We start from the raw sequence: 14,295 nt of genomic DNA, 5'->3' as shown, positions 1-14,295 counted from the left end.
ATAATTTAATAGACTTGCTAAGAAATAAACTTTTGGAACTCAATCCATTGTCTATTTTGAGACTATTAAGTTTTGTGACTTAGGCACATTGTTTTAAAATAAAAAAAATCCTTCTACAGTGTCCAACTATCTTATAATTTGTCCAATCCATCTAGTAAAGATCTCACTGAAATTTCTAGTAAGTAACTTCATTTTCTGGAATAGACACAAAGCCTTTCTGATCTGTAATACTTTATAAATCCCTTGAATTTATATTACTTTGGATGTAAGAGAAAAGCCTCTAAAGTCCTTTTTCCATTCTTTAAAAAGACTAACACTTTTAATATACATAAACATTAAATAAATGCATTAGGCCTATTATGGGTAAGTTTTATATATATGTTGAATATATATAGTATATATATATAATATATGTTGACTCTAAATAATATATATGTTGAATATATATTATACATATTCCTCAGTGGTTCAACAACTCAGAAATTGAGTTCATTACACTGTACACGGTAATGACTAATTCAAAGTGTTACTTAACGTTCCTCCTAACCCTGGTTCTCCTTGGTTTTGTTTTTTCTTAAAGAATCCATATAACTGCACCCTTTCTTCTTTTCCTTCAAAAAGTCCTATTTTAAAAAATCGTGTTCTCCATGGCATGTTTTTGAATTGTTAATCAGATGTTTTGGGGAGCATTCTTGTCATTTCACAGCCCTTCTGTAGTTGAAGTAGCATATTGGGTAGTGGTTCCTAACTGGGAGGAGCACACGAATCACCTATGGAGTTTTTTTTCTTTTTTTTTTTTTTGAGACCGAGTCTCGCTCTGTCACCCAGGCTGGTGTGCAGTGGTGCGATCTCTGCTCACTGCAAGCTCCGCCTCCTGGGTTCACGCCATTCTCCTGCCTCAGCCTCCCAAGTAGCTGGGACTACAGGCGCCCGCCACCACGCCCAGCTAATTTTTTTTTTTTTTTTTTTTTTTTTAGTAGAGATGGGGTTTCACCGTGTTAGCCAGGATGGTCTCGATCTCCTGACCTCGTGATCCGCCCATCTCGGCCTCCCAAAGTCTGGGATTACTGGGGCTCCACCTTAAACCTACTGAATCAGAACGTGTGGAGCTGAGGCTTGTGTGTGTGTGTGCACACGTGCTCATGGACACTCCCAGCTAATAATTACTGCACTCAAATCCTTGTCTGACCACATAATAGTTGTGTGGCTATGTTATTTACTTCCTATGAGATCAATTGCTACTCTAAAATATGGGAGTTATCATACAGGACTCAAAAAGTGATTTTTGGTAATCAAAGTAAGACAACCAACATAGAGTGCCAAATTTCCCTCTATGTAAGGCAAATTTTCTTATTTAGCCTCTAAAAGGAATAATTTTATATGAATAATGTTCATTATACAATCTTTTTATGCTAGTTTTCAGTTAATCAGGCAGAGCTGACAGTCTCCATGAGGAATCATAAAAATAATCAACCTTATCCCAGAAGAATTGTCAACCAAGACAAAAGCCAGAGGGAAATTAATTTTCTTCACCTCTTAGTATTTGATCTACAAAGAAATTTGTTTTGTGACTTTTCTTGCTTTTAGAATAGAAACTTGAGACATAACCTCTTGGAAAAATTTGCATATTATTTCTAACAAAGATGTTATGACCTTCTATCAGAGCTCAATGCCACTCAAGTTGCCATACAAGAACTAAGTTCCTGTAGAGGTACAGTGACAGCTGTTGGGCTGAATGCCGGCAGAGAAATGAGAAAACATCAAGGTACTGGGTAATTCTGTTATTCATGGCTCTTTTCCAGATTACTTCCTCTTTAAATGAACCCACAAGAAGTGTAGAGGTGAGTATAAGCTATGTTTCCCAGGAAACGTTAAAGGTAAAATTTCAAGTGTCAGAATAATTGCTTTGACTCATTTGAGTCAATAGAGATGATAAATGTTAAAAGGGCCCAGAAAAGCTGCTCTTGCAGAATGGTTGTTTAGATTTCAGTGTTTGAGAACGTTTTTAGTTATCCTGAAGTCTACTATAAAGTTCTACACCAAATTATTTTCATTTTAATGTATAGGACAAACAAACTCTAATCATACTTTTAGGAGTGAGGGTGGTTCACAACACCCAATTATATACCTAATTATATAGTATTAGAACATCAGAAAGGATGAGAATCCCTGCTAGGAGCTGTGGGTTTAGGGTCCCAGGATAACCTGGGAAAGCTAAGCCTCCCTGGTATAGTTTCAATAAGCAGGAGCTTGGAGTAGAGGCAATATTTCTATTGTGATTGTACCAAGCACTGTGCCTGGCATAGAGTAGATGCTTAATTAAAGTTTATTAAATAAATGAATGTTCGTGGATTACTCACTTAAACTTAGTGAGCTGGCTTGATAATATCTGCCTGGGCAGCAAAAATGGTGTGGAAAAATAGGTCTAAATTCATTATTATTACCAGGAGAACAAATTCATATACAAAGGATATCATTTTTTCTTACCAAGTCAGTGTTTACCAAGGAAAGAAAACAGTACAATATTTAGTTTAACCAGATTTTAACATGGTGCCTGGCTCTCCCTAAAGCATTGCATTGCAGATTAGGCTGGGGAAGATGTGTGTCAAAATTTTCTCTCACGCTCCCTGCAAAAGCATCTCTTCCATTCTCCTGGTGGTTCCTACTCCCTTTCTGTTGAAGACAGCCAGGTTTCCTGCCCATTGTCACACACTTACAAACTGGCAGAAACATTCTGCGCTCCTCTTTTTGATAGCCTTATTTTACAAAGAAAAAAATATCTAGAATTAGTATTAAAAAAAAACCACAATAGCCTGATGCATACATCTCAATGCAGCCTGGGACAGAGAAGTCTCCAGTGTATCTATGGCTGCTCCTCAGCTTCCCATGTGCTCTGCTGGCCCACACTGCTTGCCAGCAGTCCTTACATCAAAAAGGTTGATTATGCATCCAGCTCTACCCTACTCTTCTGCTGGCAGCATGCTCACAAAGCTGTTTTATAATTTTTATTTTCATTTTTGGAGATGCACATGCATGGAAAAATTTTACACAATATGGAATGTTCTGGGGTAGGCAAATGGAAAATGAACATGGCCGCCTCTTCCCCCAGGATGTCCATATGTCTATTTTTTCCTACTATAACTTTACAGGGACTGTATTCATATGGTTCTGCTTTAAGAGCTTATATGACTGATAAACAATATAATTTGTTATGGGCAGTATACTTTTTTCTTGTTTAAACAGGAAAAAAAACCCAACTCTGATATTTTAATTCAGAGCAGAAGAGCTTCCGAAAACTGATACTTTCTGCTATGAATGTTCTGTTTCAAAATCTGGAACATCCAGGATATAAGATACATTGTCTTTTTTTTTTTTTAAGGTAGGTTCCATTCAAAGTACAAACTCATGATAAAAATTGCTGTAGCAGGAGTGTCGGTCTGCAAATTGCTTTTCAGATGAAGGAGCTTTGTTTCCTGTTGAATAATAGCTCCCAGGCATTTCTACTTATGATTGGTGGAGGAAATCCTCCTGTCATAGCACATTAGGGTTTGATACATTTGCTTGAAATCTCCGAATCTGCCAGAGAGGTACATCTGTAGTGAAGCCACCGGCATAGTTTGCTAGAGGGATCTGGGTGAACTTTCATCACAAATGTGAGTTAGCAATGTTCCTCCTCAAAACTAGAGAAGACCTATGTATGTCAAGGGCTCTGACCAATTGAGGCACTACAAATTATCTGATCAAACTTGACCTATTTTAGATCTACTAGAGCAGTCTAAGATAACCTAGAGCAGTAAGAGCCTAAGAACAGGAACTTTCAGTTGTGCATAAAGTGATGCTGCTGATGGAGATGAGTTCTTACCTTCCTGAAGGAAGGTTCTATGTTTTAATTAAAGTACTTAGAGATCCTAAAATGATGCTCTTTTAGCAAGCACCCAGTAAATGTTAATGGTTTTCCTTTTTGAGGGGAGAGAGAAATCTTTGTCCATCATTCTGTGATGGTGTATATATAGCTAATGCAAATGAGAGTAGCCTCTTACATGGGGATTAGGCTCTAAATCTAATGAGAAAGACATACCATTACACACAGTAAAAATGACCCTAAGTTTCCTTTAAATTGACCATAAAGTGTAGTATTCACAGTGTTGTTAACATAGCAATAATTACTATAATCCAAGATCTGAGAGCCTCTGAAAGCCTATATCCAAATGTGTGGACATTCAAGCCTTCCTGCCTAGATTACTATCAGATTTTTGAGGTAAATAGAGAATGGATGATAGGGGATTCTAGAATAGTCTTGCCTGATAATAGCGATTATATTTTTGTTTTAAAATTCAGCATCTAAAATCAGTATATGTTTATATATTTCTTTATTTTAGGAAGGATTAAACAAGATGGTAGAGTTGCACCTTAGGTGGCACTGAATTCTAACATCGGTGCATAAATTATGCAACTCCATTATTTTTGAGGCATTCATTACATGACTGTAGATTATGTAACCATTTTGGGGGGCATATGGAGCAGGCAATTTTAGTTATATGGTGTTTTCTTTAAGTCACTTTAATTTGTCACCTTTTTCTAGGCTTTTTAGCCATGGTTAATAGTGATAGTAATCAGGTAAGAGTATTAAAATCATAGGTGATCTGGGTATGAAGGATCCTTTATCCACATATCTTCATTCATATATTGATAATTCTCTAGAATATCTGAATTGACACTTTTTGAGTATGTTCATCCAACCATTTACACATCCAACCATTTACACATACTCAAGTGTAGAATTGAATAAATGAACATTTTCTGAAGACTTTCATGTTAGATTTTGTCAACTACTTTACTGAAATCTGAATTTAACTGTGCAATACTAGCATTATGGACATAGTAAATCTGTCAAACAAGGAATTAAAGTAAGAGTAATGTGATTTGTTATTGGTGAGCACAGACAGGATCCCAAGGACACTTGCTTTTCAAAGTACTCATATACCCACCTATTAAATCCATTCTGGAATATTGCTTTTGATCAATATGAAGCTTGTTGGCTCTTGAAATTGCCTAACATAGTAGAATCAACAATAAAATTTGTCTGTCTCTAGTCTTCCAGCACCTTTCCCATTTCCCAAAATTCTTCCACAACAGTGGACAATAATTTGTTAATCTGATTTAGGAGTTTTGCAGATACTTGGATAGAGTTCATTCCATTCCAATTACTGGAACTCCCTTGGGAGGGCTACATGTTCTCTTTACAAGGGCCAGATGTTTGGTGTCAATCTTGATGTTCACAATTCTTTCTACTGTCTTCTGATATGATATGCTTATGTGATGTGGGGCTTTTGCAAAGCTTGTCACTGGGACCTCCACTTTACTTTTAGTTAAGACACAAAGGTTTTTATCTGATAATTTATGAAATACAAATCTATTTCGATCAAGAATAAGAACCTCGGCAAGATGGTTTTGATCCTGGTGTGTCCTACTATTCCATCCATTCTCAAATGGTGCCAGTGGTGGCACAATTCATGACCACTAGGCACACAACCTCCCATAGCAGCAGCCACTGCCACACACCACAACCCCACTGCTATTCTCAATGACTTGTTTTAATGCAACCTAATAACTTCCCCCACAAACAGCTCTTTCATGTATAGAGTTGCCACAGAAATGAAAAACCCTATATACAGTTTCAGTCATACCAGATGAGTAAGTTCTAGAGATCTGCTGTACAATATAGTACCTATAGTTAACAATATGGCATCGTACCCTTTAAAGTATGTTAAGAGGATAGAGCTCATGTTACTTGCTCTTATCACAAAGCAAAACAAAACCACAAAAGAACACAAGGTAATTTTGACAGGTGATGAATATGCTTAGTATGCTGATTATGGTGATGGTATCACAAATATGTACATATGTCCAAACCCATCAAAATGTATATATTAAATATATGCAATTTTAAATATATCAATTATGTTTCAACAGAGCTTTTCTAAAAAGAGAAACAAACAACCCTGCTTCAAAGCTAATCCTGCCCTCCTGGGCAGAGGGCACTGTGACTGCTCGCTGAGGGTAAATAGACATCTTCTTGGGAGGCTGGGCACCTTCCAAGCACCATTCAGCTCTGACTGAATTCAGTTCTCTCTGCCTTGTACCCTACATATTCATGGAGGTTTCTGCATATAGGGCTGCAAACAGCCACACTGCCCTTAGCAAATGTCCAAGAAGGCTTGGGGGCTTTTAAAAATTTATTATTGATACATAGTGGATGTACATGTTTTCTAGGTACATGCAATATTTTGATATATTCATATAATGTCTAATGATCAAATCAGAGTAATTCAGAAATCCATCAACTTAAAAATTTATCTTTTCTTTATGCAGGGGGGACTTATTTAAAAAATTGTAGCTTACCATTTGGTAATTGACTAAAATATTTCTGTGTTCTCTTCTTTGTGCCACTGAAACCTGATAGACTGATTTTGCTGCTGAATTGAGATAAAACTATAGTTTCTAGCATGGCGCTTGGCACATAGTAGATGCTGAGTCAAGGTGAGTTTGTTTCTCTTACCATGGCCTTGGTGGTACTGCTTCATTTTATACCTTCAATAATCAGAGATGGCAAGAAAGGAGGGTGGAAGGTGAAGGGAGAATGTAAGTCTTTACTTGAATACATTTCAGGCTATTCCTAATACACACTATAAATGCATCAGTTATATGCTGTTGAGTAGCTCTCTGATCAAAGCTTCCCAGTGGCTTCCGAGGCTCCAAGGTCCTATCTAATCTGCTTCCCCTCTGCCTCATTCTGTTCCAGCCACAGTGACTTCCTTGATGTTCTTCAACACACCAAGCACAATCACACTCCAGGGTCTTTAACTTTATTGTTGCTGCTGCCTGGAATACTGTTCATTCGATATTTGCATGGTTTTTTCCTTACTGCATTCAAGTCCTAGTTCAGATATTTCCTTAGCAAGGTTCCCTCATGACACCTAAAAATTGTAATCTTTTCTTTGCTCAGGCACTGTCCATCTCCCTTACTCTCTTTTATTTTTCCATAGTATTTACTAATCTTTAATGTCCTATATAACTTACTTATGTGGAATGTTTATTGTCTGTATCTTCCTATACATATACAAACACACAGAGACACAGACACATAGATGTACATACAGACTGTGGGCTCCATGAAGATAGGGAATTTTTTCTTCTGCGCACTGCTGTATCCCCAGTGCCTATAAAAGTATGCTTGGAAGTAGTAGTTTGCACAATAAATATTAAATGAATTAAAAAATGTGAATGAAGGACTACTCAGGAATGCAACATGGCAGAAAAGTAAGACACCCCTATATTTGGCCAAGTGATGGGTATTCACTAACACTTAGTGGAACTGGAAATTTATTATCTGGGCATTACAAAGAGCAGTAAGGCCCAGGTCATGTGGACTGACATTTGGTTTTACAGTCGTTGTCACTACTTTATGGTCCCCCAATTCTGAGACCAGAAACATGTATGGTTCATCGCAAATGCAGTCTGGATCCCTTCTAAGCCATTATGCTCAGCACCACCAGAATTACTGGTCTCAAAGTAAAATTTGACTATGACTCTTGTCCGCTTAAGGTTCTTCAGTGATTTTCTGCATTTTTCAAGATAAAGTCTAACAGTGCATAAAACTAGTATGCTAGTTCTTCATTTACTCCTCATTATTACAGGCCCTCTGTGCACAGCGTCATATTAAAGTACTTGCAGTTTCTCAAAAATGCTATGTTCTCTGCTTTTGTAAACTTGTTTCCTTTATCAATTCTACCCTATTTATTTTGCCAACTTCCGCATCTTTGAGTCCCAATACAGGTTTCATCATTTCCGAAAAACCTTCCTTGTACTGCCTAGGATGCATTAACTTACCTTCTACTTCTTAGCAGACGGGATCTGCTAGTTTCTTCTTGTAGTTCTGCCAAATTTTAACGTTTTACTTTATGTATTAACCGTCTTTATCTCTGACAATGTTTTTCATGGTCTTAAACTTTATTTCATCTGATTTTAAAGCTATATCAGCTCCCTTTGGTTTGTTTTCTTGGTAGTTATTTTTCTCACAATTTTATTTTTAATATTAATGTGTTATATTTTTAAGTGGGCTGCTTATAAACATAATATTGTTAGTTAAAATGTATTATCTGTCATTCTTTGTCTTTTAATTCAAGTATTTAGCCAATTTTCACTCACTTGGTTAACAGTATATTTGTGCTTTTAAAAATTTTCTCCTTTTCGTCTTTTCAAGCTAATTAGGTTTTTTTTCCTCTTCTTAGTTTTTCTGTCTGCTAGTTTTGGAATTGCAGTCTTGGACTCTATAATTTTAGTGCTTACTCTAATTCCTAATATGCATACATAACTCAATAAAGTTTAAATTTAATCAGTATATTTACCCACTTTTGGAATAATACAAGGACCTCTGAACACAACTTTAATCACCACCACTATCAACAACTGATATGCTGTTGTCTTGCTTTTTAATTGTATTATTTAATGTGCAAATTAAATATTATTTTCAATTATTTGTAGTCAACATTTGTTTAGATTTATCTATTCATCATACTTTCTTGTATCTCAGATCTTCTGATATGGTTTGGCTGTGTCCTCACCCAAATCTCATCTTGAATTGTAACTCCCACAATTCCCACGTGTCATGGTGGGAGGTGATTGAATTATGGGGGTGGGTCTTTCCTGTGCTGTTCTTGTGATGGTGAATAAGTCTCATGAGACCTGATGGTTTTCAAAATGGTGAGTTTCCCTGCACAAGTTCTCTCTTTGCCTGCTGCCATCCAAGTAAGATGTGACTTGCTTCTCCTTGCCATTCACCATGATTGTGAGGCCTTCCCAGCCATGTGGAACTGTAAGTCCACTAAACATCTTTTTCTTTCTAGTCTCAGGTATGTCTTTATCTGCAGCATAAAAATGGACTAATACATCTTCCTTTAAGAAAATTTTCCTTCTTTCTTAGAACATTTTTATTCTGATAATCCTCTTAAAATTTATTTGCAATTGTTTTACAGTAGTTTTTAACACTGTAACAATTAGCTTTTTCCATCTATTTGCTCATAATTACATAATAATACTCATCATTCTTTTTTGTCTTTAGATAAGACATCCTTTCTGGGGCAATTTGCCTTTTTATTGAAGTAGACCTTTTAGGAAAATACACATGTGAGGGTTTCTGGGTAATAAATTATTTAGTTCCAGTTTTTAATATTTATTTTTTGGAATGACCAAAAACAAAGTTGTTTTGCTTTTGTGCTTGAAAGACATACAATTACACCTGTCAGTAATTTTTCTCTCAGAACTTTAAAATAATTATTTCAGTCTTCTATATTCCGTTATTGCTAAGAATTGTCAGTCTAATTGTCATTCTTTCTTATGTTGTCTGCTTATTTTCTCTGGCTTCTAATGAGACTATTCTGTGTTCTACAGTTTGTCTATAGTGTGTATGGATTTCTTTTTATTACTCCACTTTGGAATAAATTTGGCTGCTTGAACTGGATAACTGCTGTTTCTCTTCAATTCTGGAAATTTCTTAATAATCATATTCTAAAATATTTCCTTTTCTTTATAATTCTGTATTCTTTCTGGAATTCTGATTAAATGTACCTTTTAACTTCTCTTTCATATTTTTCATCCTTTTCCCCTTTATATTGCATTCTGGGTAATTTCTTCATGTCTATATTTTACTTTACTAGTTCTCTCTTCAGTTGTGTCTAAGATGCTAATGTTTACTAAACAGGCACACACACATACATACACATAATAATTTCCATGAGTTATATTCATTCTTCTTTCAGGTATGATGCCTGTGTATCTCTAATGTTCCCTTGCTCCCCACTCATATTTATGGAATGCTCTTTTATTCATTGAAGATTTTACTTGTCTATTTTACATTCTGAAACTGCCTGACACACTATCTGCAATCTTTGATGGTCTGAGTCTGTCATTTGTTTCTTTTGCTGACCCTCACTCATGCTAGCTCATGCTCTTTGGGTATTCATTTGTTAGAATTCTTGGAGTCTTGGGGTAAAGGTTATTCTCCCAGATATGATTTTCTTTTGCTTATGTGAGGTGTGAACTTAGGTTTGGGGGAACACACAGATAATGTGAACTCAAGTTGACACTCATATAAGAGCTAGGAGATGTTTTTCCTCCCTCCAGTGAGATCCAAGGTTGAAATAGATTAATTTTTTTAGTCTCTCCCTTTCTGAGGTGGTTCCCTCACCCAATTTTATTATTTTTTTGCAGCAATTGCCCTTAAGCAGTTTTTGCTTTACTTGGGACCCTCTTACCAGCTAGAAGGCTCTGCTTCCTTTCCCTTGTGCATGTGTGATCTAAGCTCTCAGCCACTAGGCAATGGCAGAAGCACATGGCAGATGTCAACTATTTTCTCTCTGAATTCAAAATCGCTCTTTAATTCAGGCCTTTAAGGGGCTCTCTTATTTTTTTGTCAGCTCAACTATGTATTTTTGTAAGTGATGTTATAAAAAGGATTTTCAGAGTACATATTCCTTCATATTGTTAGAAAGGTAAGTCCTTCTCATAGTGCTTCAAATTTCCCATTTTATAATATTTAGTACATTCTTTTTAAAAATTTAAAATTCTTTTTAGAGAGAGTGTCTCACTATGTTGCCTAAGCTGGACTTGGAATCCTGGGCTCAAGTGATCCTCCTGCTTCAGCCTACCAAAGTACATTCTTTTGTAAATGTCGAATTTTTTATCTTTTTCAGTTGATTGTGTTCATCCTGAGGGCAGGAACAATTTCTTACCATGTCATAATTTATTTAGTCAAGAAATAATAAGTTTCTGTTATTTACTAATGCACTGATGTATGAAGCTGGCTGTATATATAAAGGTAGTCAAAATTGAAATCGTCCCTGCACTTATGAAGCTGACAAATTAAAAATAATACAAGCTAATTTTTGTTGAATCATTTCTTATTTAGCAAATTGTCTAGTTGTTCTGATACTTTATGCTTATTGTCTCATATTAATCTTCATAACTATCCTATGAATTTGCCATTATTAATATTTCATTTTAAAGATAGGGTAACTGAGGCTGAGAGAAGTGACTTGTGTGTAGGAAGAGTGGAGTATAATAATTATTATGATTAGTTAGCCATGACCTACATTTTAAAAATTTAAATTATCTTGCCAGGCAAGGTGGCTCACGCCTGTAATCCCAGCAATTTGGGAGGCCAAGGTGGATGAATCGCTTGAGCTCAGGAGTTCAGGACCAGCCTGGGAAACATGGTGAAACCCTGTCTCTACCTAAAATACAAAAAATTAGGCAAAAATGGTGGTGTGCATCTGTGGTCCCAGCTACTCAGGAGGCTGAGGTAAGAGGATTGATTAAGCCCAGGAGGCTGAAGTTGCAGTGAGCCAAGATTGTCTCACCGCTCTCCAGCCTGACTGACAAAGCAAGACTCTGTCTCAAAAAAAAAAAAAGTATTTTATTCTTTGAATTTTTATAATGATTTCTATTGCTATAGACTCAACACTATACATGGTTTCAGAGATTCACTTGAACACATCAAAAGGAAAGTGAGGATGTATCTCTGAGGACGGACCCTCTATGCATACACAATACTCTTTCTGATGCTATCTCTCATCTCTCACTGTTGCTTGTGAATGCTCTATTATGATGACTTCTTTCTTTCCCAAGTGTATTTGCTTCATATTGGACTTTTCCTTCTTTTTTCTTTATATTTCTTTTCCTAAACCCTTTAAAAGGTTTTGGCTCTGAATTTTCAAGAGTCTATAAAAACCAACAATGAATGCTTCAGGGATTTTTAATATAGCATGAGCTGTGAAAAGTAGTTTTTACCAGGATTTGTAGGCTCTGGGTTATATCCTAGATTGACAAGGGAGTATCTTCAGGCAAGAACATCATTCTAATCATGATGTAAAATTTTTTGGTCAAATAATTCAAACCTCAGTTGTTTGATATGTATCAGGTTTTTAAATTGAGTTATATCTTTGAAGATCTACTTGATGTGGCAGAGATTAATCTCATCATATAAATTCTGAGAAACTAAAGAAGACTATCATATATGTCCTTAAGAATATTGATTCTTACAAGCAATAACCATAATGATCACTATGTCATATAGAGTTGCATTTAATTGTATTAATGACATCCTTTCAGCAGCAACTTGTACTTATTCAATGGTACTTGTACTTCTTTGGCATTTGAAGTACCACCTCACTCTTCTTAATCTGCCTTATTTTAGGTTCCTACTTTTTGTATTCTTTGTTCTCTCTATTTCCTTATATTTTGTGGCAGCCCAGGTGGCCGCCTGGTCTCCTCTTATTCTTACTCATTGGCTGCTGTGTAATGAGCTTCAGCATAAGATTTTCCGGCAGGTAGCAATGGGAACTTTTCTGTTCAGTTCTTCTGCACCCCTGGCTCCTGTGTATATACAATGCTGTCTTTCTGATGTTATCTCTCACTGTTCCTTGCAAATGCTCTATTTTTTTGACTCCTGTCTTCCTGAGTCAGCTCCATCCCAAGTGTATTTGCTTCATGTTGGACTTCCTCTTCTTTTTATTTCTTTTCTTAAACCTTTTAAAAGTTTTTGGCTCTGAATTTCCAAGAGGAATCTATAAAAATCCAACAATGGATGTTTCAGGGATTTTTTTTAATAGAGCATGAGCTCAGCAGAAAAAGTAGTCTTATCAGGATTTTTCATGTTATAATTTCTCACTTTGTTTTACAAAGACAGCACACCCAGAAAACAACAACAACAACAACAACAACAACATTGTTCTTTTGAGAACAGGAGGCATCAACTACTACTCTACAAAGTAATGTTATTATAAATAAATAGATAGAAACAGTGTAAGAGGGAAAATCACGTTGTTAAACATTTTGAGAGTGCAGAGCATGGGTACTGTTCTTATTTTCAGTTGCTCTCATCAGACAATGATTACTTGACACCTCTTAAGAATAAAGCAAGAAGATTGGTGAACATAAGGTTCACAACTATTGGAAATCTCACAGAAGAGTGGGCTTCTGATGGATCTTAGGCCTGTGATTAATTACAGACCAACACATGCGTGAGTCATAACTTGTTAGTCACATTAAAATTATCTAAATCAAGTTGAAGATAAAATGGGATATTGATCTATTTTTCCCACATGAAAAAAAGTTGCTTCCAAAATTAAAGACCATAAAGCTCTTATGATGATGCACGCGTACACTCTTGTCAAACTTCCATGTATTCTTTGGAAAATCACCTCATAATCAGCACCAACCCAGCAGAATGCAGAGACATGAGTTAAACCGTTCCTAGAATGTATATGATGTGTGCTGATCAAAGGGAAGAAAATAAAAGCAATATGTCCATCCATGTACATAATGACTCCCAAACCCTCAAAAGTGAATTTTAAAATGTTGATTTTTAGAAAAATGAATACCCAAAAGTTAAAGAAAAGCAAAGTAAAAGGACCAAAATTTTGAGCATTTAAATCTGATTCTCTTAACTTTATACAATATCATGTCTTGGACTTTCCCTGAACACATCACCTGCTGATGGATTCTCTCACTCATTCCACTGCATTTAGGGACATTTTTATTTTTATTTTTATGGTATCTTATGTATTCAGAGGAAGTTTCCCCAAGATTTGCTTGTGCAAGTTCAGGCCTTTTATAAAGAGTATTTCCTAGTTGATGCCCGTACCCTGCTCTGCATTACTAACAATTATGCAAATGAATCTTAGAACCACCCACATCTACTTTTAACATGATGCTCTCTTTGTACAGCAGGACTAAAATTCAGAGATTAAATATATCTGTGATAGCACAGGTCTTTTAAAATTTAAATTGGGATATTTTGGCCTTTGAAGTGGCATCACATATTTTACAAAATTATTACTTAATGGGAAAGTATACTGTCTTTTTGCTTTCTTTATTCTGTTCATTTAAAAAATCAAGTGCATGGGCAAGTGTCCAGATAAATTTACTCATTTCCATCCTTTTATTTTTTTAATCAGTGAATAAACAATCAAAAATCCTAAAAATAATGACTGAATTGCAGAATCACCACTGAAAACAGTCTCAAAAGGTAATCTACATACAGCCGGGTGTGGTGGCTCACGCTTGTAATCCCAGCACTTTGGGAGGTCGAGGCGGGCAGATCACCTGATGTCAGGAGTTTGAGATAAGCTAGCCAACATGGCGAAACCCCATCTCTACTGAAAATACAAAAATTAGTTAAGCGTGGTGGCATGCATCTGCAATCCCAGCTACCTGGGAGGCTGAGGCAGGAAAATC

The 14,295-nt window shown here is 36.0% G+C and overlaps 1 protein-coding gene across 9 annotated transcripts in view; it reads right to left on the bottom strand.

Moving 5' to 3' along the window:
• The window catches only part of KCNQ5 (potassium voltage-gated channel subfamily Q member 5), a 576,790-nt gene that overhangs the window by 302,764 nt on the left and 259,731 nt on the right, over positions 1 to 14,295 (bottom strand). The window lies entirely within an intron of this gene.

Source organism: Homo sapiens, chromosome 6 (genome assembly GCF_000001405.40).
Source record: "Homo sapiens chromosome 6, GRCh38.p14 Primary Assembly".
NCBI classification, from domain to species: domain Eukaryota; kingdom Metazoa; phylum Chordata; class Mammalia; order Primates; family Hominidae; genus Homo; species Homo sapiens.
This window is presented reverse-complemented; position numbering and strand designations above follow the sequence as displayed.